The sequence below is a fragment of the Homo sapiens genome, chromosome 9 (assembly GCF_000001405.40).
Source record: "Homo sapiens chromosome 9, GRCh38.p14 Primary Assembly".
Classification (NCBI taxonomy): Eukaryota; Metazoa; Chordata; class Mammalia; order Primates; family Hominidae; genus Homo; species Homo sapiens.
The window spans coordinates 123,419,184-123,441,385 of NC_000009.12; the positions used below are offsets into that span (position 1 = coordinate 123,419,184).

The window sequence follows — 22,202 nt, forward strand, 5'->3', positions numbered from 1 at the left end:
TGCAAAGATTGGGGTGGCTGGTGAGGGGAGGCCAAGAAGGTGGGGTGTGCCTGATGGCAGCTGGCGCATGACAGAGCTAGCCTCTGAAGCTGGCCCCAAAGGGGGTCTCAGATCCTCTGTGTGCATTGTGTACTCTGAATTGTCCCTTCCCTGCCAGGTGCCTACCTGCCTCAAATGGAGGAGGCCTGGCCCCAGAGGGGGAAGCTGGATAGGCCCTGCCATTTCTCAGTTTGTCCCAGGCACATGCCCCAGTCAAATACGTGGCCAGGAATGGAGATGGGGAAGAGAGCAAATTCACAATTAAACTCTGTCGCTGTTTAATGAGGAGAGTGTTCACCTGGTTAATTTTTCCTGGCTAGTAGCCACATCAATGCTCTGACCTATGCATGAAACAGACCCGGTTGGGAGGGAAGACAAAGCCTTCTGTAGTTTTACAAAGGGCCTCTGCGCCGAGAGCAAGGCTCCTCTACACTTTGGGACTGGAAATCTGCTATTATGCAAGGCATGGAAATAAAAGAGGGCTGCTTTTGATATGCCTCCAAAAAGGAGTGCATTGAAGCGATATTTTTGTGGAGTGTCTCCTTTGAGATGCCCAAGAAGCTCTCTTGCAGGCACAGCTCTCACCTAGCCCCCAGCGCCCATCGCTGTCTCCGATCCTCTCTGTCCGCCCTGGATGAGGGCTGTGCTGCTTGCGGGGGAGGATCAAATACTTGCCTCCACTTCAGAGCTTCAGCCAGGGCAGCTGGAGAAGACCAGGCCCTGGTGTCACGTAGCGTACAGCATGCTCCTTGCCTGAGCCACTCAGCGGGGCACCCAGAGGAAATGTGGGGATCCTGAGGCCTGAAGCATTTGCAGAGATAACAAGCTGTCACTCTAGAGGGATATTCCTTGCAAGATGCTGTACAGGAAGGACTTCCACGTCACGCTGAGGAAGAGGTTTCCACTTGCTGAGAGTCCACTCACACAGGGCAACAAGGACCTGTTTCTTCAGGGAAAGGAAGGGAGGCTGGGAGGGGCCAGGTATTACTCAGGATATCCCAGTGGTCCTGGCGACTCTGAGACAGAGGCTCTATTATGATTGCCGCTCTGTAGACAGGGAAAGGGAAGCCCCTTGCCCAAAGGCACAGCACATAGGTAGGACGCAGAGAGGTCGGGCTGGGCTTCACTCTGAACGGCAGACTCCACAGTGAGGTTTCTGGGTGCCCCACAACTTGCCCTCCAGAGGCGCCACCTGCGAGGGGGATGAGGGGGTGCTCAGGATCGAAGGGGGTCCGGGAAGAAAAGCCGCAGCACCTGCCGCGGGGTCTCACAGAGATGATCTCCGGAGAGAGCGCGCTCAGGATTCAGGGGCTCGCCAGTCCTGTCAACGACTCTCTCCGGCTGGGTCCGGGCACTCTCTTTGCCGTGAGTGAGTGCTGAGCTGAAAGACATCTCAGACTGGTCCTGAAGAGCAGTGCATTCTTCCCCGATGTTGACAGGAGTAGTATTTTGTAGTGGTGCTGGTTAATTTGTAGTGGCATTTGTGGTTTGAAGCCTTGTCAAGATCCCTGATTACTTCCCGTGCAAAGAGCTCGGCTGACGGGGAAGTTCACATGCTGAACAAAAGCAGCGAGGCAGCTGTGAGGGAAGGCTGCGTGGGGGCCGGGTGACCCTAGCCGCTTGGGGGACAGAGGCGGGGGAGGGAGGAGGGCCAGCAGTGGGGCAGGGGGAGGGGAGCCCTTTGTTTTTAGTCGGGTGCAGGTGCACAGTCTGAATAGGTGGCATCCCATTGGTGGCCGGAGGTCGGGCACCAGATGCGGCTGGTGCCTGGGCAGGGGCAGGGACCTCGCTGACGTATGCCATTCTTTGCCCAGACAGAAGCAGGAGGCAGGCGCCTTGCTGCTGGGATGCATCTAGGATGCTGTCGAGGGTGCCTGGGTGACATTCCCAGGAGGAGGGGGACACGAGGTGAGGTTAGAGGGGCTTCCAGATGTTGGGGGAAATGATCTCCTCTCTGGGGCTACTATTTTCTGACACTTGCTAGGTACCAGGCCCCGTGCTAGGAGATCTACATGCGAGGTCTCTATTCATCTCAGCAACCCTCCAAGAATGTGAAAGATGAAGAAACCGAGGCCATGTCACTCAGTGACTTGCCCAGGCCCGGCCTGACAGCTAACGGGTGGCAGAGCCAGGATCCAAGCCCAAGTACGCCTGACTCCAAAGAAGCCCACGCTGCTCCCAGGAGACCCGACATACCAACAGCAGAAGAAGATGTTAAAACGTATCTCCTCGGGTCCGCTCCTCTCTCTCCCCAGAAAGTCCTCCCTCTGACATCCTTTGAGACTTTTGTCCTGCTAAGTCTGTTCTGACCACACAGAAAGGTTTGTCTTTGCAGCCGCCTGCATTTCACCAGGCCCGTGTCCCTACTCAGTGAGAATTTGCTCAGTACATTTAAGGACCAGGGCCAGCTCAGCAAAACCAGGCTCATTTATCATCTCTGGAATGATGTCCACCCTAACAGGATGCAACTAGGAAATGAGAAGAATTCTCCTCATTTTGCAGAGGTCCAGAGAGGAGTGCATAGCACCCTCTATCTAGAAAGGGAGTCCAGGACTCCTTGGCCAGGCCACCACGAGCCTCCAACTGCTTTCCCTGCCACTGGCAGCCCAGGAGAGTTGCTCACATCCCTGTCCCCAGCATGCCATTCAAGACCTGGCCCTGCCCCCGATAAACCCCACCACAAGAAGCCCCTTCTTTCCAGCCAGCCCCCTCACGGGCCATGGCCCTTCACAACACACATGCTGGTCCTATAAGCCCTTCCCTCACTCACCCACCTGATGGATCCCTGCATCCCTCACGACTCTGTTCCCTTCCCCCAGAAGTTCTCTCTCTATTCCTGGCCCACAAAAGTCGGGCACTCCTACCTCTGTCCTTCCCCTAAGAAGGTGAGTCCTTGAGGGTTCACATCTGGCTCCTGGCACAAGGCCTGGCACGCGGTCAAGTTAAAGTAAATGGCTGCCCAAGAGTGGGGAACTAGCATCAAATTATCAGTGAAGCCATCACCCAGCATCTGAATAATGCCAGACCCGCCAGTCATTGTCCCCATGATTTGAGTTACTTTGTCTGCAAGACTGGCAACATTCCTGGCATGCTTCTGATCAGGAAAAACCCTCTACCTACAGGTTTCCTAGCCTAACAGGTTGAGCCCCAGGGCCATCCCCCAAAGCAATAGACTTTTTGAGTGGAATGCAAACGTGGAAGCAATGGGAAGCTTAGATATGAAATATCCCAAAATTTCCCTAGTGTGTCTGTTAAAGAAAGATAGTCAGGTTCACCAGACAGAAGGTTTTTTTTTTTTTTCCTTCCCTCAGAACAAATGGACGGAGAACCTGGTTTTAAAATTCCTGGACCTTGGAATACATTTCTATCTGTGTCAAAGTCTACCCATCCACCGCCTCAGCAGAGTTTAAAATCCTAGCTAATAGGTTAACAACTGTTTTTCTTCAGCTTCAAATGAAGAATATCAGAAGGCTGGGGGAATATGCGGCTCTCCAATTTGTACGGACTGCACACAGCTCCCTGCAATGTGTGTTTGACAGGACTGACATTTTGTACTGCTGTGAGATGGGAAAACGTGTGACATTTTTATTCATGGTGGCGTACGCCCTTGTAATGATCAGCTCTGGTCGATGTGCTTACCGCAGCAGCCCCTGAGCCCTCGGAGAACAAACAGGAACCCAAGGTGCCAGCAGTTCGACTGCCTTATTAAACACCGCCAGGATCCTAACGAAGACCAACTGCTGGAAAATCTCACTGTCAAATCCTCAAGGACATTGTCAGCGCACAGCTAACTGCATATATTTTTCATTTAAAATACTGAAATCCAGCATTGTGCCATTACAACCAAGGGGAGGGGCGCCCACTCCAGCGGCCATTCTGTCAGCTGCTTCTTCCAAGCTCCAGATGCTAGAGCCGGATGCCCGGTGGGGTTCAGAGCTCAAAATGGGGCGGCAGAGACGGGACACTGACTTCCCGAAAGCTCAGCCCTGCCTTCAGGGTGAATGGCTGAAAGTTACAGGGCTCCGGTAAGAGTCCCCTGGAAAGGCAACTCACCGGCCCCTTTTGCAAGCCAAAGTGAATCTGCATAATTAGGAAATCTCTCCCTCCCCCAGCCAGCCCTCTTCCTGTAGGTACAACCCATTACGTCCTGCAACTCGGCGCTCATCAGCCTTCTGCTTGGCGGTAGACCTTAAGACATCTGCAGGAACACATGGCTGTGGTAGGTTTCACACCTTGGCAGAGAAGCTGTGTGTCAGGGTGCCCACCTGCAATCTCACCACTTGCCTCAATGCAAAGGCCTCAAGGTCAGCGTGCAGGAGGACCCCCTCCCTTCGGCGGTCATTTCTAATGCTGGTGCACACTGATGGATGGAAGCTGATCACTTGGCAGGCCCTCAAAGCTTTCCGTGGTTGTTAAACTAGGTGCTTTGGTTATGGCTGCACACGCTCATGTATGGGATATATTTATTTTGTAAATATGCATTATTTATACAGTACTTCTATTTCCATACTCCAGCCCTGATGCACCAAGATACACGCTACTGTTTATTTATGGGGTCCTTGGCATAACAGGCCTAACAAGAGGCCCGTGTGTGGTTCTTGCAAGTTTGCAACAAACTGTAAGTGGTTGGCTAAACAACTGGATGTTCTCCATCCATCACAGGTACAGGCCTGCATTTTAAGGGGCTACCCGTAAAGTTGGTTTAGCATAATACTGTACATCATCCTTGGTGGAAATGGCCTGGGGGCTGAAGAGCTGGCAACCTGGAGGGAAGGAGCCATAACATTCCACACCCTAGGCTGGGGAGAGGGGGTGGAGTAAGTTACGGGTATCCTGGTGCTTACAGCACTCTGGGAGAGTATAAAAAGGAAGGTGGTTGGTAGACAGCCCTGGGGAAAATGCAGGGACAGTGAGGGTTGGGGGAGCTGTACCCTCTTTCCTCCAAGCAGGCTATTCTGCCCCTGAGCAGAAACTTCTAGTCTGGGTTGCTGAGGGAGGGTGTCCATCAATCCTGCACACCCCAAGGGACATCCCTTCCTCACGGACTGTACTTCAAGCCTCACTGGGGCATGCTGGCTGGATGAAGAGGAACACAGCCTGTGTCCAGCCCTGTGCTATTCTATGATCAGCTTCAACAGTTCCCACGCAGGACATCCGGCTGCCCGCCAAGTTGTGTCCTTTGGGTCTCCTAAATGTCTCTAGGATGATTTTCTCATCTTTACCCCCAGAAGCAGTGTCCTAGATTAGGCTCCCACCAGCCCTGGCCTGAGCAATGTCCGTGGGATCATCAGTGGTCTCTCTGCCTCAACTACTTCCATCCCCTTCCACAGTGGCCCAGCATACATATTCCCAGCTGCTATTTCTCTGAATACAACCCTCGTTGGCTCCTAGGCACCTATGGGATAAAATTCAAGCTCCCCCACCTGGGGTGGGGAGAGCCCAGGTTCCAGCATCAGATAGGCCTGGATTTTAATTCTTGCTCTGCCACTTACTGTGTGACCTTGGTCAAGGTGCTTAACCTCTCTGAGCATCAGCTATCTGGGGATCATCATAACTGCATCAGTCTTAGAGGGCTGTTGAGAACATTAAGTGAGACGAAGTTTGTGAAGGGGCTTGGCTGAGACACAGGAGGTCTACATTGTAATGAAAACCCCTAGGTCCACCTAACCCCTTTTTACTCTCCATCTCTTGGTTAGTCCTTGCCATCCCTTCCTCTGGGCACAGCCAGGTTAATAATTTCCTTAGCCCGCAGGCACTACCTGGCTCTGCCAGGGCTAGGGACTGATGGTGGATGTGCGACAAGCAGCCTCTGGCACAGCACTCCTGTGACCATGGGGCGGGGACTCCCTGCACAGCCACAGATACAGAGCTGACTCTCTAAGGTGATCTCGCATGTGGTATATAATTTATTTTCAATATTTTATGTTTTATTTCCCCTTCCCTGCTGTGATAAACTCCCCACCTCTGGCACAGAGAATTCTAATCTGAGAAAATGTCTCCTCTGGTCTCGCTGAATCAGATTTCCTGCTCTTGTCCTGTTGGGCTCAATATCTCCCCGGCAGGGAGCTGGATTCTGAGCAGCTCCGACACAGACCTTTAAAGAAATGCCGTTTGTAGGCTCTGGCCAGTCCTTTGGCAGAGAAGCCCCGCTGTCACACCGCTGAAGGTGGAGCCTTGGGGGACTCAGGATCCTGTCTCTCACAACCTGGCGCCGCGTGCGGGGATTCTAAAGCGCGTGCAGGCGCCGCAGAACAAGTCACTGCCTTTTGCTGGATTTCTCTTGCTCTGCTGAACCGACTGACTACTCAAGGGCACAAGGAGTGAGTGGACCTGGCCTCGCCTCTTCCCCACGTCACTGCCTTTCCTGCCCGCACTCATTCACCACTTGGTCATTCCCCAAACTCTCATGGGCAGCTCGTCTGTGCCAGGCCCTGTGAGGGTGCCAAGGATACAGAGAAGGCCAATTCTGTCCTTTTCTGTGGGACAGGGTATAAATGCATCCCCAGCAAGCCAGCATAGGGACAGTGCCGGCTCAGAGCAGCAAGGGAATGACTGGGCTTGGAGAAGTCGGTGGAGGTGGGGGCTTGTCAAGGGAAGGCGATGCCTGAGCAGGGCCTTGAAGGGTTGGGAGGATTTTCTGTTCAGGTGGAACAGAAGAGGAAAATCATTCCTGGCAGCAGAGATGGTAGGGGCTGATTCATCCCTGGGTCCCCCAGTGCAGATGCCCATGAAGAGCTGGTGAACAAATAAATACGAGGCGCTAGGGACTAGAGAAGAAGGGACTCTGCCCAGGGCAGGGGCACTTCACAGAGTCCTGGAGGGTGGGCAGGAACTGCCAGGAGTGGAGGATGGCAGGGAGCTCCAGACTAGAAGGCCTAGCTGTGGTCAGGGTGGGCTTGGTAGGGGTGGTGGTGATTTCTGGCAGGGAGGGTCCTGGAGGCTGGGTACGTCCTCTTGACCATGCAGGCAAACCAGTGGTCAGGGAGACAATCCTGGAGAGGTGCCACATTCGGGAGGCTGCAGGCCCTGCCTATCTCAACGTGTGCTGATGCTTTCTGATACCCATTGTGCCTCACAGACCAGTCGAGGAGAGAGACACAGGACCCCAGGGATATGAGGAATGTATGGGTACAGAGGGGCTGACACCTTGGTGGAACTGGGGTACAGCTGGTTTGGGAAGTCTGACTAAGACATTCTAGTAGCTGAAGCTTGTGAAACAGGAATGAGCTAGAAACAGAAACCTGGAGCTCCCAGAACAAAGGTGGTGCTAGAAACCACAGGTAGAGCTCCTCGTGGCTGCTAAGGGAGTAGAGTTAGAGGCAGAATGGAGCCAGGGAGGAGCTCCATCTAAGGGAAGGGAGGACCAAACACAGGTCCTAGGTGCAAAGCCCAGCTCAGACCTCCCTCTCTGGCTGGACTCTACAGGGCAATCAGTCAGCCATTCTGCAGCCAGCCTAGTTTCTGTTCCTCTTTGTGTATTTTAGTTGAGCTTTTCTGGAGACCATAACTTGCACCAAAGAAATTATTTAAAAGGTGAGAAATGTCCATTGCAACTGGCTGTGGAAAGCAAGTGGGGACGCCTGGACCAGGGGCAGATACTTAACATGAAATCAGTTGCCACCTCATCGCAGAACAGCCTGGAACAGCCACTGTGTTTAGTTTCTCTGGTTTGGAACCCTCCCCATGCATCTCAGACACAGCCTGAAGAAGATGCACACTCCCATCTTAGAAAGACAAGCTCTCTGCCTAGTCCTTGAAGCAGATAAAAAGCAAGGGTGTTAACAAAACATTCCATCTATTTCACAGTGATCTCTAGCAAGCTGGCCGTGAGGAGCTGATGGGCACCTCATGAGAATGCTGGTGGGGAGACCACCCTGAGGACCAAACTTGTTGGGGTTTAGAACAAACAAAAAGGGCACTTAGAGATGCCCTATGGCATGATCACACAAGCACAAATCTGGGCCTTTCAAAACTACCAGATGGATTCTGTCCATCAGGATTACGTTGAACCACTCACCACGAGAATGTTAGACCCCTGAAGTCAGGAACCGTGTCATTGCCATCTCTGTTTTCACAGATGTGGCACAGAGTAGGCATCAGTGATGATTTGCTGAACGAATGACCTAGGTTCTTAGCTTCTACCCTTCTCCTCTCCTAGCCCCGGGACTGCAGTGGACTTTGTCACACTTGAGTCTCCAGAAGCTATCGCAGGCAACGGCAGACAGCTGTGCCCATCTCTACACCCTGCCTCCTACCTCCCTGGTCTGCCATGCGCTAACCTGCCATTTCTCTTCTGTCCCTCCTCTATCTGGTGCCCTGGTTAATGTCTGACCTTGACTCTCAGCCCTGCATGCTCTCTCGGTTTTAGGATCCCCACAGGTCTGGTATGAACCGTTCTCTGCTGTGAGACAAGTGGACAAAGAGCTGAGACAGTGTCTCCTGTTTGGCTTCTGTGCACATTGTCAACTTGATCTTCTCTCCCTTCTTTTGATAATGGCCCCAATTTCCCTTTCAGGAATGACCCCTTAGGTATATGCTTCAGGTGGGGCCCTACCTGCAGCACACAAAAAACCCTTGGCCTCAATAATTGGTTCCGATGGGCATATAATCAGTCAGTCCAGCGAGTCAATGCCGTGCCTTGCGTGGGAGTTACTAGGAAGTGACAGTCACTTTCCTGTTGGTCTTGCACCTGGAAGGATTGCAGGCATCTTGCCACCAGGAGGGGAAAGCCTGCCTGAGAATGGCCGTAGCAGAAGAGGCAAGGCCAATAAATGAGGCAAAATAAAAAAATGGGGTCTAGGTTGGGCGCAGTGGCTCACGCCTGTAATCCCAACACTTTGGGAGGCTGAGGCAGGTAGATCGCTTGAGCTCAGGAGTTCGAGACCAGCCTGGGCAACATGATGAAACCCTGTCTCTACAAAAAATACAAAAATTAAACAAGCCAAAACGAATCCAGCAGCACATCAAAAACTTATCCACCATGATCAAGTTGGCTTCATCCCCAGGAAGCAAGGGTGGTTCAACATACACAAATCAATAAATGTAATTCATCACATAAACAGAACTAAAGACAAAAACCACATGATTATCTCAATAGATGCAGAAAAGGGCTTTGATGAAGTTCAACATTCCTTCATGTTAAAAACTCCCAATAAACTAGGTATTGAAAAAATATACCTCAAAATAGTAAGAGCCATATATGACAAACCCACAGCCAATATCATACTGAATGGGCAAACACTGGTAACATTCCCCTTGAAAACCAGCACAAGACAGGGATGCCCTCTCTCACCACTCCTATTCAACACAGTATTGGAAGTTCTGGCCAGGGCAATCAGGCAAGAGAAAGAAATAAAGGGCATTCAAATAGAAAGACAGGAAGTCAAATTATCTTTATTTGCAGATGACATGATCCTATATATAGAAAACCCCATCGTCTCAGCCCAAAAGCTTCTTAAGCTGATAAGCAACTTCAGCAAAGTCTCAGGATACAAAATCAATGTGCAAAAATAGCTAGCATTCCTATACACAAAGCAGAGAGCCAAATCATGAATGAACTCCCATTCACAATTGCTACAAAAGAATAAAATATATAGGAAGACAGCTATCAAGGGAAGTGAAGGACCTCTTCAAGGAGAACCACAAACCACTGCTCAAGGAAATAAGAGAGGACACAAGCACATGGAAAAACACTCATGCTCATGGATAGAAAGAATCAATATCATGAAAATGGCCATACTACCCAAAGTACTTTATAGATTCAATGCTAATCCCATTAAACTACCATTGACATTCTTCACAGCATTAGAAAAAACTATTTTAAAATTCATATAGAACCAAAAAAGAGCCCGAATAGCCAAGACAATCATAAGCAAAAGGACAAAGCTGGAGGCATCATGCTACTTGACTTCAAACTATACTACAAGGCTACAGTAACCAAAACAGCATGGTACTTGTACAAAAACAGATATAGACCAATGGAACAGAATATAACCTCAGAAATAAAACTGCACACCTACAACCATCTGATCTTCAACAAACAAGCAATAGGGGCCAGGTGCAGTGGCTTGTGCCTGTAATCCCAGCACTTTTGGAGGCCGGGGAGGGTGGACCAGTTGAGGCTGGGAGTTCAAGACCAGCCTGGCTAACATGGTGAAACCCCATCTCTACTAAAAAATACAAAAATTAGCTGAGTATGGTGGCACACACCTATAATCCGATACTTGGGAGGCTGAGGTATGAGAATCGCTTGAACCTGGGATGTGGAGGTTGCAGTGAGCCGAGATTGCATCACTGCCCCCCAGCCTGGGTGACACAGCAAGGCTCTGTCTCAAAAAAACAAACAAACAAAAACCCAAAAAGCAATGGGGAAAGGATTCCCTATTTAACAAATGGTGCTGGGAGAAGTGGCTAGCGATATGCAGAAAATTGAAAGTAGACCCCTTCCTTACACTACATATACAAAAATTAACCCAAGATGGATTAAAGACCTAATTGTATAATGCAAAACTACAAAAATCCTAGAAGAAAATCTGGGCAATACCATTCAGGACATAGGTATGGGCAAAAATTTCATGACGAAAATGCCAAAAGCAATGTGCAACAAAAGCAAAAATTGACAAATGGGATCTAATTAAATTAAAGAGCTTCTGCACAGCAAAATAAATTATCATCAGAGTGAACAGACAACCTACAGAATGGGAGAAAATTTTTGCAATCGATCCATTGACAAAGGCCTAATATCCAGAGTCTACAAGGGACTTGAACAAATTTACAAGAAAAAAAAATTCCATTAAAAAGTGAGCAAAGGACATGGACACTTCTCAAAAGAAGACATTCACGTGGCCAATGAACATATGAAAAAAAGCTCAACATCAGTAGTCATTAGAGAAATGCAAGTCAAAACCACAATGAGATACCATCTCACACCAGTCAGAATAGCGATTATTAAAAAGTCAAGAAACAACAGATGCTGGAGAGGTTGTAGAGAAAAAGGAACACTTTTATATGGTTGGTGGGAGTGTAAATTAGTTCAACCATTGTGGAAGACAGTGTGGTGATTCCATAAAGATCTAAAGCATAAATACCATTTGACCCAGCAATCCATTACTGGTTATATGCCCAAAGGAATATCAATTATTCTACTATAAAGATACATGCACATGTCACTGTAGCACTATTCACAATAGCAAAGACATGGAGTCAACCCAAATGCTCATCAATGATAGACTGAAAAAAGAAAATGTACACCATGGAATACTATGCAGCCATAAAAAGAAATGAGGTCATGTCCTTCGCAGGGACATGGATGGAGTTGGAAACCATTATCCTCAGCAAACTAGTGCAGGAATACAAAACCAAACACCGCACATTCTCACTTACAAGTGGGAGCTGAATGATGAGAACACATGGACACACTGGGGGAATAACACATACTGGAGCCTGTCAGTGGTGGGTGGGGAGGCGAGCCAGAGCATCAGGAAGAATAGCTAAGGGATGCTGGGCTTAATACCTAGGTGATGGGTTCATCTGTGCAGCAAACCACCATGGCACATGTTTACCTATGTAACAAGCCCGCACATCCTGCATGTGTACCCTGGAACTTAAAGTAAATATTGAAGAAGAAAAAATTAGCCAGGTGCGGTGGTGTGCACCTATATAGTCCCAGCAACTTGGGGGCTGAGGCAGGAGGATGGCTTGAGCCTGGAAGGTTGAGGCTGCGGTGAGCCGAGATCATGCCACTGCACTCTAGCCTGGGTGACAGAGTGAGGCCCTGTCTCAAGCAAAACAAAAGCAAAAAACAAAAACCAAAAAACTGGGGTCTGATGAACATGACTGGATACCAAGCCATACCTGAAGCTAGCATAAGCCAACAATTTCTCTTTTGGATTTTATGTCTCATGTACCCTAACTAAATGTAGACACTGCTAAATGTATTAGGTTGATGCCAAAGTAATTGTGGGTATGGGGTTGGACTGCCCTCTGGTACCTCCAGTGCTAGCTCCCACACATGCTCAGTTTTTACCCTGCATTCTACTCTCTCACACACACCAGAAAATCATCCAACATGCCTTTGGGGTCTAGGGCTAAGTTTGAGCCTACACCAGGTACAGGATACCAGCTTACTTGTCTTGGTTCCAACTGAGGCCCAGAAACATTAAGGAGGGCCTAAGATCTGTAAGAATACCAGAACAGTCTCACTTGTGGTCCACCCTCCTGGGATCCTGAGCCACCTGCCCAGGTGGCTGCACTGGCCCTCTCACTACAACCCAGGAAACTGCCATGTTCTCAGCACAGAGTTGGGCAAGAACCCAAGCTTTAGAATAAACAATGTAGCTTTGAATCCTGTTGCTTCTGACTTGTGTAATCTTGACTAAGGCCCATTCTCTGTGAGCCTGTCTCCTCCTCTCCAAGAGAGGATACCACCTGAGCCCCTTACAGGTTGGCTGGAGGGATTCAGTAGGCTAACCTACTGGAATGGCCTAGCATGCTCCCTGGAGCTGGAACAGAGACCCATTCCCTCCAGGTCTCAGTGTGGAGCTTGGTGGGCAGTGAGCAATTCATCTCCATGCCCCTCCCACACTACTCTTAGGCCATCCCAACACCTAGCACATACGGGATGCTTAAATTGACCTTATAGTGCTCAAGTCCTAGAAGGAGGGATGGTCTGGACGGTCTGGAGGGGTGGACTAAGCTTGGTCCCTAGCCCTTCTGCAGCCAACATGAACTTGGGCTGAACAGAGGTGGTACAGCTTAGAGAGCAAACTACTGTTTTGCACCTGGATTTTCACTCAGCTGCTGACATTTCTCAGTTCTTCCATGGTACATCAGGAGCCCTGGCCTCACCGTGGAGCTCTCTGGCCTTCTCCAGCTCTCTATAACGAGAGGAATACCACCCGAGGAGGACACGCTGAATGCCTAATCACATAGCTCCCGAATGTTCAACTCAATCGTTATGAATGTCCAGAATCTGATTTCTCTTTTTTGATTGGCAAGTTTTTCCTCCCGAAATCAAATATGTCTGCTCAAAGGAGCAAACCCCAGCCTTGTTAACCTTTCATCAGAAAGCTGTCTCTGGGCTAGCCTGGGCTCTGAAAAGGTGAGTGCACGTGGAAAGACAGGCCTAGCCAGCCACCCTCATCAGGGAGACCTGAGAAATGCACCACCAATTAGGGGCCACGCTGCTCTTGGTCATGGCAGCGAATGAGTCCAAACAACTCTGGACAGCCACCCCATGGGGACCGAAGGGAGGGCACTGTCACGGTCACCCTACAGTGGGCACAGAGGCCGGATCAGAGCAGGAGGAGCTGGAGGGAGCGGAGTGGGGAGATCACCACCGTACCTCTGCTCACTCACACAAAGACATGGATGAGAGGGGAAGAAACGGGGGCAACGGAAAAGGAGAAATATGCTTTGGAAACAACAGGGGTTGAAAGAGAGGTGTGCAGGGTATACCGCCTCATGGACTGTGGGCGCGTGACTGGGATGGGCAGAAAAAATGACTGGATTGTAGACCGCAATGCCCACCACTAGGTACCTTCTGCCCCAACCTGCCCCATAGCCCCTTCTTTCCACATGTTTGACTCAGGCTTGGGCAGCATTATCCACTCTTGCTGGTACCAGCTCCTGGCCTGCTCCCTCTGCCTGGTGGCACTGGGCCTCCTCTGGGCTTGGGTTTTGCCTTTCCCACCCAGAGGTGTAGGGACACAGGTCAGTTGCCATGTGTGCATGCATAGGGCCGCCCCTGAGGGACTGCGCGCTCTGAGAGCCTCGGTGAAGGCCAAGCACTGGGAAGACAGGGTTGGGTAGGAGGCAGTGTCAGCAAATGATTGACAGCCAGCTCCACTCTTGCACATTGGGGAAAGAGACTGATATTTACCAGGGGCCTGTGTGCCAGCGCTGAGCTCGGTACTTAAAGGCAATATCTCATTTAATCCTTATAGCAACCTATGACGTGGACCCCTCTAGAGATGTGGAAACGGAATTTCACTGAGGCTAAGTAACTTACTGAAGGTCACCAGCTAGTGAGTGGCACAGCTGAAACTTAAGTCCAGAACTGCCCGATTCTAAAACCTGTGCTTCATCCACTCTAACTCATTGTCTCCAGGAACTGATCCACATTTGCCTTTCAGCAGGTACATCTTGGGGAAACAGGAGATTATATTTGCTTTCTCTCTCTTCTCTACACATGGATCTTATATATGTGTGAGCCTGTGTGTGTACATGATGTGTAATGTTTTTTCAAATACCATTTGAAAGTAAGTTGCAAGCATTGTGTTACTTCACCCCACAGACTTCAGCCTGCCTCTCCTAGGAATAAAGATAAACCCCTACAAAACTATCATATTAACATTAATCCCACATCATCATCTAACATTCCAGTCCATCTTCAAATTTTCCAACTTTCCCAAGAATGTCTTTAAAGCTTTTTTCTTTTTTCTTTTTTTTAAAAAAACAACAACACATAATCCAAGTTAGGTTCACACTTTGCACTTGGTCATGTATCCTAGTCTCTTTCACAGATAAAACCTTTACGCCTAATTTATCCTGTTGCTTGCTTCGCTTGATGTGACTCAAGGGATGATGGGCCCCTCCCTTCCCCTGACTGCTTTCCCCACTGTGCTGCTCCTGCACAGCTCTGCCCATCCTTGGGCACAGGAGAAGGGGGGTCCCAGTTCCCTGCCTCATTCCTCTCCATTCCCTTCCGGGGACACCTATGACTGACCTTAGGAACTAGGAAAAACACACAAAATAAAATGAGACGGGATCTAAATTGCTATAACACAAAGCTGTTTCTATTTGGAAACAAAATCCTTTTTTTTGAGATGGAGTCTCACTCTGTCACCCAGGCTGGCGTGCGGTGGCACAATCTCGGCTCACTGCAACCTCTGCCTCCCGGGTTCAAGCAATTCTCCTGCCTCAGCCTCCTGAGAAGCTGGGACTACAGGCGCATGCCATCATGCCTGGCTAATTTTTGTATTTTTAGTAGAGACAGGGTTTCACCATGTTGGCCAGGCTGGTCTTGAACTCCTGACCTCAGGTGATCCACCTGCCTTGGCCTCCCACAGTGCTGGGATTACAGGCGTGAGCCACCATGCCCGGCCTCACTTCAAAATCCTTCTTTATGGAAAGTGAATTTGGAAATAGTTTGTGACCACTAAGGGAATGTTCATTTTTCTTCTTCAAATGAATTAGAATTACAAGCATAGCAACAGAAATGAAACCAAATAACTTGCTGAATGCACAGCAAGTGCTTCAACAACAATCAATTATTCCTTAATTTAAACATCCACACCAATAATAAAACCCCAGGATGTGCACTGACTGCCAGCTCAGTGCCAGGCCCTGCAGTGGACTTTCTGGTGGGAAGGCAAGCATTAAAGAAAAATTGCAGGGCTGCGTGACAAGCGGCGTGTGCATAGTCCTGGGGTAGCACGAGGACAGAAGCAACTCACTCTTCCTAGGGGAGTTGGGAGAATTTACCAGGAGGCCTGCTCTGGGATTGGACAGGCAGGTCACAAAGGGGCCAAGGAGGAAGATGGAGTCTTTAGGAGAGGCTGGGAGCGGGGGTGAGGCGGCCACTAGTGCATGCTTACAGTAAGTGCATGCTTACAGTGGACCCGGCTTACAGTGGACCCGGCAAGGCCACATGGGGACTACAGGGAGTACCAGTTAGGAGCCTGTGAAACAGTCCAGGTGAATGATTATGCTGCCTGCACCACAGCTGTGGCAAAGGTGATGGAGAGGAGAGGATGAAGTAGTGTTCAGGGGTGGAAGGAGAGGATCTGGGGAGAAGGAGGGCGGAGCCTGGCTCTGGATGGCCAGCCTGTGTCATTCACTGGGGTGGAAGATGGAGGAGTGAGTTTGGTGGGGAGTGTATGTTCAGACCAGAGGCCTGGGGTGTGCAGTATCCTGAGAACATGGGAGCACCTGCTGGAGGTGGTGAGGAGGCAATGGCTGAAGTGAAGGGAATTGCATGTGGCTTCCAAGCTCAGTGGGGCAAGAGGACTCTCTCAGGGCACTCAGAGCCAAGGGTGCTGAGAAGGCATTTGCTAGCTCGGCATCTTCTCCAGCCTAGCATGGGATTGGCACTAAATGACCTGGCTGATGACCCTGATGCCAGAATTCTCCATACGCAGAGACAAGCCGGCAACCACATCCCAAGAGCTGTTCCTGGGGCTGCTATCCAGACCTCCCTGCCACAGTTCTCTGGAAGCCACGGTGGTGCTTGGTTTTGGTTTTGGTTTAACCAGCTTTTCAAACTTTACATTAAAGAGGTTTAGAAACCTTTGTTCAGATGGGAGAAGAACAGAGGCAGCACCTTTCAATACATGCTTTTTGCAATCTATCAGATTGGAAGGCAGGCAACTACTTTGTTTGCAGATCAGTCATTTGGAGGAAATACAAAGAAGGGGGCCCTGGAAGGGGTTTGCTGTGATATTCTCAGGGAAGCCTCAGTCTCTAGCCTTGGCTATCTGCACCTAGGACTAGGGTCCAGTGTCACTGAACTCACACAATCAGGCCATTCTCCTGGCAAGGAGGGAGAGCTGCACACAGCCAAGAGAAGCAGAGGTGCTGCTGCTGCTGGATTTGGAGTAGGAATTAGCTACTCATTCCAGCAACGCCGTTCCAGTGTGCCTCCTCATGTGTACGATGGGTAAAATGATTTCTTCCTCACCCGCTGATGGCAAAGTCTCAAGTCAGTGCTCACGGATGTGAAAGCATCTATGGCTCACCCATCTTATTAAATGTAGGGAGCAGAGCAGTTTCCACAGGGGTCCTCGGGAGGGAAGCCAGTCAAGGCCAGCCATTCTAACCAAGGGGTGCCCAGGGCTGCCGGGGAGGACACCACTCACTCACTCCTTCTATAGCTGTGGGAAGGAGGAGCTTCCATTTCCTACCCTAGGAGAGAAAACCAGGGGGGAATCCTTGGCTTGGCCAGGCACCCTCTTGTTCAACCCCTCCCAGAGGAAGAGGAAGAATGCCTTCCCGGGGAGTCTGGGAGAAGGAACTGAGCTCCATCACCCCTTCCAGCTCCCTCCTGGGGAGCAGCCAGGGCAACGCCCTCCCGCAGCTCCTCCTTGCTAGGAGTCTATGGGCAGCTCCAACCTGGAGAGACCTGCCATTGTCCACTTATCTCGAGTGGAGAAACGCGGTCTTCACATTCTCAGGTGAAGTGTTTGCAACATTTGCCTTCAGGTCTAATGCAATATTCTCCTTTCAGGCTTATCAATAAACACAGCTGGCACTTTTATCTCATTTGACTGTCCCCTGGGCTTTGTTTCCCAAATGATACTAAACTTGAGAAGGGGAAAACAGTAATTTAAAGCCTCTCTAAACTGCGACATCTTCCAAGGCAGGAATAGGCATTCTCAAGTTGACACTTTTGAATTCTTAAAGAAACTACGTGATCAGGAGGCAGAGGCTAACTAGAAACCTATTTACTTTGCTCTTATAAGCTGAGTGGCCTAACATATGTCTGCTTTAGAAAACAAATTATTAGCGAGTTCAGTTTGTTGACAAAATATCTTTTTTTTTTTTTTGAGACAGGGTCTCGCTCTGTCACTCAGGCTGGAGTGCAGTGGTGCGATCTCAGCTCACTGCAGCCTCTGCATCCTGGGTTCAAGCAATTCTCATGCCTCACCCTTCCGAGCAGCTGGGATTACAGGTGCCTGCCATGACACCCGGCCAATTTTTGTATTTTTAGTAGAGACAGGGTTTCACCATGTTGGTCAGGCTACTGACAAAAGCATCTTTTAATTAAAGTGTCCAACTTGGGACTATGAGGTGGACTATGACTGACTATGAAGTGACTATGACTATGAAGTGGGCCTGGAGATGAAGAGGGAGCCTCTGGGGGGCCCTGGGAGTGCTTGGAGCCTACTTCCCTCATTGTCTTTATCCCTCTGATTGGGCCTGTCCATCTGCTGGTCTGTCTCATCATTATGCCCCACAATGGTAGGGACTGAGAACTTATTTATCTTACACATGGTAGGTCTCAACAGACAGATGAATAGATGATACTTAAATGGAGGAATGATCACAGCTTGGAAAGAGGAACTCCACTGAGGCAGAGGGCAAGGCAGCACCTTCTCTCCCCTGGCAGTAGCAGCTCTTGCCTCGACACTAAGCTCCCCTCTTGCCAGCCCCCGCTGCAGAGCTGCCGTCAGAGGTCTCCATGGAGCTGCCCTGGCTAGCTGCACAGGCACCGGCTTTGCCAGGTGGTGAGATGAAGGCAACCGTCTCAACGGTCTCCATCCCCACTGGCAAGCTAAATCTTCTTAAATAACGAAATCCACAGAAACACAGACCCAAGGCGAGGATTTTTTTGAGGTTAAAATAGGTGCTCTCTCTGGCTGGTTAAGATGATTTTGCCAGGGCAGGGTACAGTAGCTTTAACAGACATATCACATGGCTGCAGTCCCTGCTTGTTTTGAGAGCTGGTGTGGGCTCGAGAGGAGGTGTCTGGGCTTGGGTTTCCAAGCTGGTGAAGTGGCCCTGGGCAGGTTCTCTCACGTCTCTGAGCTCCAGCTCTGGGTCAATAAAATGGGGCTAATGGTCCCTTCCTCAAAGGGATGTGGTGGAGACAACAAAAAAGATACCAAGGAGTCTGTTGGTTTCCAAAAAAAGAGAATATATACCATTAGGGCTACGTGAGTGCATTAGGTGATTCATAGATGAACACTTAAAATTGTTTTATATGTTAGAAAAAACTGGGACTAGTATATCAAGCCTATAATTTTACCAATGGCATCTCTGAAGATGAGGCTAAGATGCTATAGATGTCAGGTCTGAGTCTTATTTAAAGAAAACTATCAAGTAAAGAAAATAGTATAGATGGTAAGAGAGTGTGGTAAAAACTTCTGAAATGAAACTCAAGAGACTGTTCTTTGGGAAGAATATCAAGTCCTTAAAACTCATGCCTGCCGGTAGTAGGTGCTCTAGAAACCGTACTTCTTACGGTCAACAGCCCATCAAACCAGGGACCCGGGAAAAGACTCAAGGACAACCTACCATAAGGGCAAAGCTGGAAAGAGTTAAAAGAAAGGGGTCTGTGGTTTCCCTGGCTCAAGCCCCCCTCCCTCTGCAGCTAATCTGTCACCTAATGAAGAAGGGGCCGGCATAAGTGAGCTAGCTGGCAGTTCACTTACAGCAAACTGATTAAGAATGTTCAACCAACAGCAGACTGTAGACCTTTCCAGAGAAAATAAATAGAGTGTAGACTGTATGCAAATGTGTTTGTCACTTTGACAGCACGTCTCAATTAAGGCATCTCGCGGCTGTGGGTAGGCTCTGCGGCTGCAGCTGGAAGGGAGAGCCCGCTGCATGGCTGATACTAGGGGCTTGACCTTAATCCGCATGCATGCATTAAAAAAAAAAATCCTGCCTTCCTGTACACTTGCATAATGCTGGCAGCCACGTGAGGGAAGTGACAAACAGGGAAAAAAAGCCACTTTCATCCTCTCCAGTTTGCAGACCTGTGAAGGCACAGACAGCTCTTATTTCAACAGAGTTTGGGGTGGCTTTTTTAATTGTTTATCCCCCACCCGTGCACACACACATACTCTTATTCTGCATTTAGCTGGGAATGACATTAAAGAATCTCTACTTCTGGCTGAAATGGAAAGAAGGTCTTTCTCCATTTCAAATAGGGCCTCCTTTTTTTGTGTTTCGAAAATGGAATGTTTAACACCATGAAATCCCTCTCCCCCGCCCCCTCTTTCTCTGTAATGGGCTCCAAACTCCAGTGAGGGGCTCCTTTCATGGGAAGGTTAGTGTGTGCAGGAATGAGGACAAAGGAAAGCAGGAAGCTGACTCTGGAATGCCACGCTGGCGACAACCAGGGGCTGTGCTTTCAGCAAACACAGCCAGGGAACTGGGGTGCAGATTGCTCCAACAGGGCCTGAGCCTGGAGCTGGGGGGAGGCAGCTCTTCAGGGGAGCAGACACCAGTGCAATTTGAAAATACTTATTAACTAAATGAGTATCACCCTGTGGATTCTTCTTTCTTGCGTTTCAATTTTTATAACATCCTTTTAAGTATAAAATCAGAAAAGGGGATGAACCTCCCCAAGTTAAAGATGTATAAACATATATTATCTGAAAATATTGATTAGAGAAGAGTGACTTTTATGTTCCAACCAACTCACCCCTTACAGTAGTAACCTGGAGCAAGAATTTTGTGAGTTTCGTTCATTTCTGAATAGCTCAATGCCTGGTGCATAGTAGGCACCTGATAAAGGTCTGTTTAAAACAGGAATGTAGGCTTCTAGGTCCTTTACATGTGGTGAAATAGCAATCACATTTAAGATAAAAATCATGAAGACTCTTAATCATGCATCATCTAATAAATGGCTACAGAATCAGGTGATTTAAAAATAAATAACCTTGCAAATTCTTGTTACAGCCATATCTTGCTAAAAGAGCCATTTCTCATAAATCTCTCCAAATGATGACTTTCGCTAACCAAAAGTCAATTCAGGACAGGTAGGAAAGGGTACATAATCTTTTTTAACCAAAAATATAATTACAAGTAGGAAGGGGATACAAAATTTTAGTTTCTATACAGAGTGGAATGTTTTACTTAAGGGAAAAAAAATTAAATAGACAATTTTTCTAATGCTCAGGTAGTTGAAAACAGTTGCTTAAAAAATTGAATCTCTAGAATTGTAGCACGGGTGTTTACTCTCAGAAGCACGACTCCTGATATTGATTTTCAGGAAGTACATTAATAAAGAACTCCTAATTGATTTTTTTTTTAAGACTTCGCTTGTTGCCTTTTATTTGAAGGTGCAAAGAAGGGCCCGGGATGCTAAAGTGTTCTAATGAGATGCTTAGCTAACAGAGGCACCTTAAGCAGAGTGCCTTGGAGTACGGGAGGCAGCAGTGCATTTAATGACTTCATTCAACAGTCCCGCTCATTTATGACCTCAGCCGTGCTGTCTCCTCAAAATTTTTGAAAATTTGCCTGCAAAACATGTTTGCACCAAATAAACATTTAAAGATGTGAAAACCTCCATGGAGCTGCACTGCCAAAGAGAACTGAAATGAAAAACCGTCTGCTGCATGTGCTACTGCTGCTAAAAACAAAAATAAAAAAAAAACAAAACAGACAGGTAGGAGGGCCAGGGTACACACCTGTCCAAAGTGGACTGTGATTGGCCGCCGGTCTTCTCGGAGCTTGGGGTCCTTGGCCTCCACCAGTGGGGACGGTGCAGTCTTTGGCAGCTGCTCTTCTGGGGTGGGGGCGCAGCCATTCTCGGCAATGTCCTGTAGGGAGAAGGATAGTCAGCGGTTGGCACTGGGGTTCTGGCACCCATGTTCCCTCTCACCCCACAACGAAGAGGCCTGCCAGGCGACTCTCTCCGTGACATTCTGAGCCTGACCTCTTGATGAAGATGGAGGGAATGGAGGGCTAACTTGGCTCTTTGACTTTTAAGAACTAGAGAAACCCAAACCATCCATGTGAAGTTATAAAGATAACATCATAATTCACAACAGTGGGGAAAACAATTATTATTGTTCATCCTACTCTCTTACACAGCCATTTTCATTTTTATGTATTTACTTTGTCCACATGCAGACGTTTAAAAATTACTTGCAATCACAGCTCATGCATAATTTTATATCCTGCTTTTCCCCACTATATTATAAGCATTTTCATGTTGTTACAAAGTCATTACAAAAATAATTTTACTGAATGCATATTTCATTGAGCGGATATACAATAATTTAATATACCACGATTCAATATTCTACTACTATTGGGCATTTAGGATTCTAATTTTTTTTTAAACATTCAAAATGCCAGTGATATATACTGCAGTTTTTCTTTCTTTCATATTATCTCTTTTTATGGAAATCCCCAGGAATGAAATTACTAGGACAACAGATATAAACATTTTCAAGGGTTTTTATTCATCCTATCAAATTGCTTTCCAATTTACACCAACTACCAACAATGGATGCATTACCAGTTTCACGATACTTGTGAGCTGTATCATTTTAAAAATGTATCGCTAATTTAATAGGTGAAAAATTTGACTTGTTGCTTTAATTTGCATTACTTTAATTATGAGTATGGACAGTTTTTCCACATTTGTTTACTGATGATGTTGTTGTTTGTGAATAAGATGTGTTTGTTCCTACCCCTTCTTACCCCTC

At 48.4% G+C, this 22,202-nt stretch overlaps 1 protein-coding gene across 42 annotated transcripts in view, besides 5 other annotated features; it reads right to left on the reverse strand.

Annotated features, from left to right (window-relative positions):
• DENND1A (DENN domain containing 1A) overlaps window positions 1–22,202 on the reverse strand; it is a 550,469-nt gene that overhangs the window by 39,526 nt on the left and 488,741 nt on the right. For 40 of the 42 annotated variants that reach the window (XR_007061334.1, XR_007061335.1, NR_148208.2 and 37 more), the window contains one exon: window positions 21,177–21,308. Coding sequence is in view for 39 of the 42 variants with exons in the window: in NM_001352965.2 (NP_001339894.1) it covers window positions 21,177–21,308 (132 nt within the window). In the remaining 3 variants the exon portion in view is untranslated. Of the gene's footprint in view, window positions 1–300; window positions 21,007–21,176; window positions 21,309–22,202 lie in introns of those variants that run through there. The other 2 variants (XM_047423633.1, XM_047423632.1) reach the window with 1 other exon arrangement.
• Window positions 218–718: an enhancer, noted in NCBI's record as "H3K4me1 hESC enhancer chr9:126181680-126182180 (GRCh37/hg19 assembly coordinates)". NCBI's record gives its function as "activates a minimal SCP1, AML or CMV promoter by ChIP-STARR-seq in naive H9 embryonic stem cells {active_cell/tissue: H9 hESC(naive)}" and the evidence as "EXISTENCE:reporter gene assay evidence [ECO:0000049][PMID:30033119]".
• Window positions 719–1,219: an enhancer, noted in NCBI's record as "H3K4me1 hESC enhancer chr9:126182181-126182681 (GRCh37/hg19 assembly coordinates)". NCBI's record gives its function as "activates a minimal SCP1, AML or CMV promoter by ChIP-STARR-seq in naive H9 embryonic stem cells {active_cell/tissue: H9 hESC(naive)}" and the evidence as "EXISTENCE:reporter gene assay evidence [ECO:0000049][PMID:30033119]".
• Window positions 3,937–4,538: an enhancer, noted in NCBI's record as "H3K27ac-H3K4me1 hESC enhancer chr9:126185399-126186000 (GRCh37/hg19 assembly coordinates)". NCBI's record gives its function as "activates a minimal SCP1, AML or CMV promoter by ChIP-STARR-seq in naive H9 embryonic stem cells {active_cell/tissue: H9 hESC(naive)}" and the evidence as "EXISTENCE:reporter gene assay evidence [ECO:0000049][PMID:30033119]".
• Window positions 7,039–7,251: a silencer, noted in NCBI's record as "fragment chr9:126188501-126188713 (GRCh37/hg19 assembly coordinates)". NCBI's record gives its function as "represses an EF-1alpha promoter that drives an FKBP-Casp9 reporter gene in an ReSE screen in HepG2 liver carcinoma cells {active_cell/tissue: HepG2}" and the evidence as "EXISTENCE:reporter gene assay evidence [ECO:0000049][PMID:32094911]".
• Window positions 7,360–7,409: an enhancer, noted in NCBI's record as "active region_28942". NCBI's record gives its function as "activates an Ori minimal core promoter by ATAC-STARR-seq in GM12878 lymphoblastoid cells {active_cell/tissue: GM12878}" and the evidence as "EXISTENCE:reporter gene assay evidence [ECO:0000049][PMID:35858748]".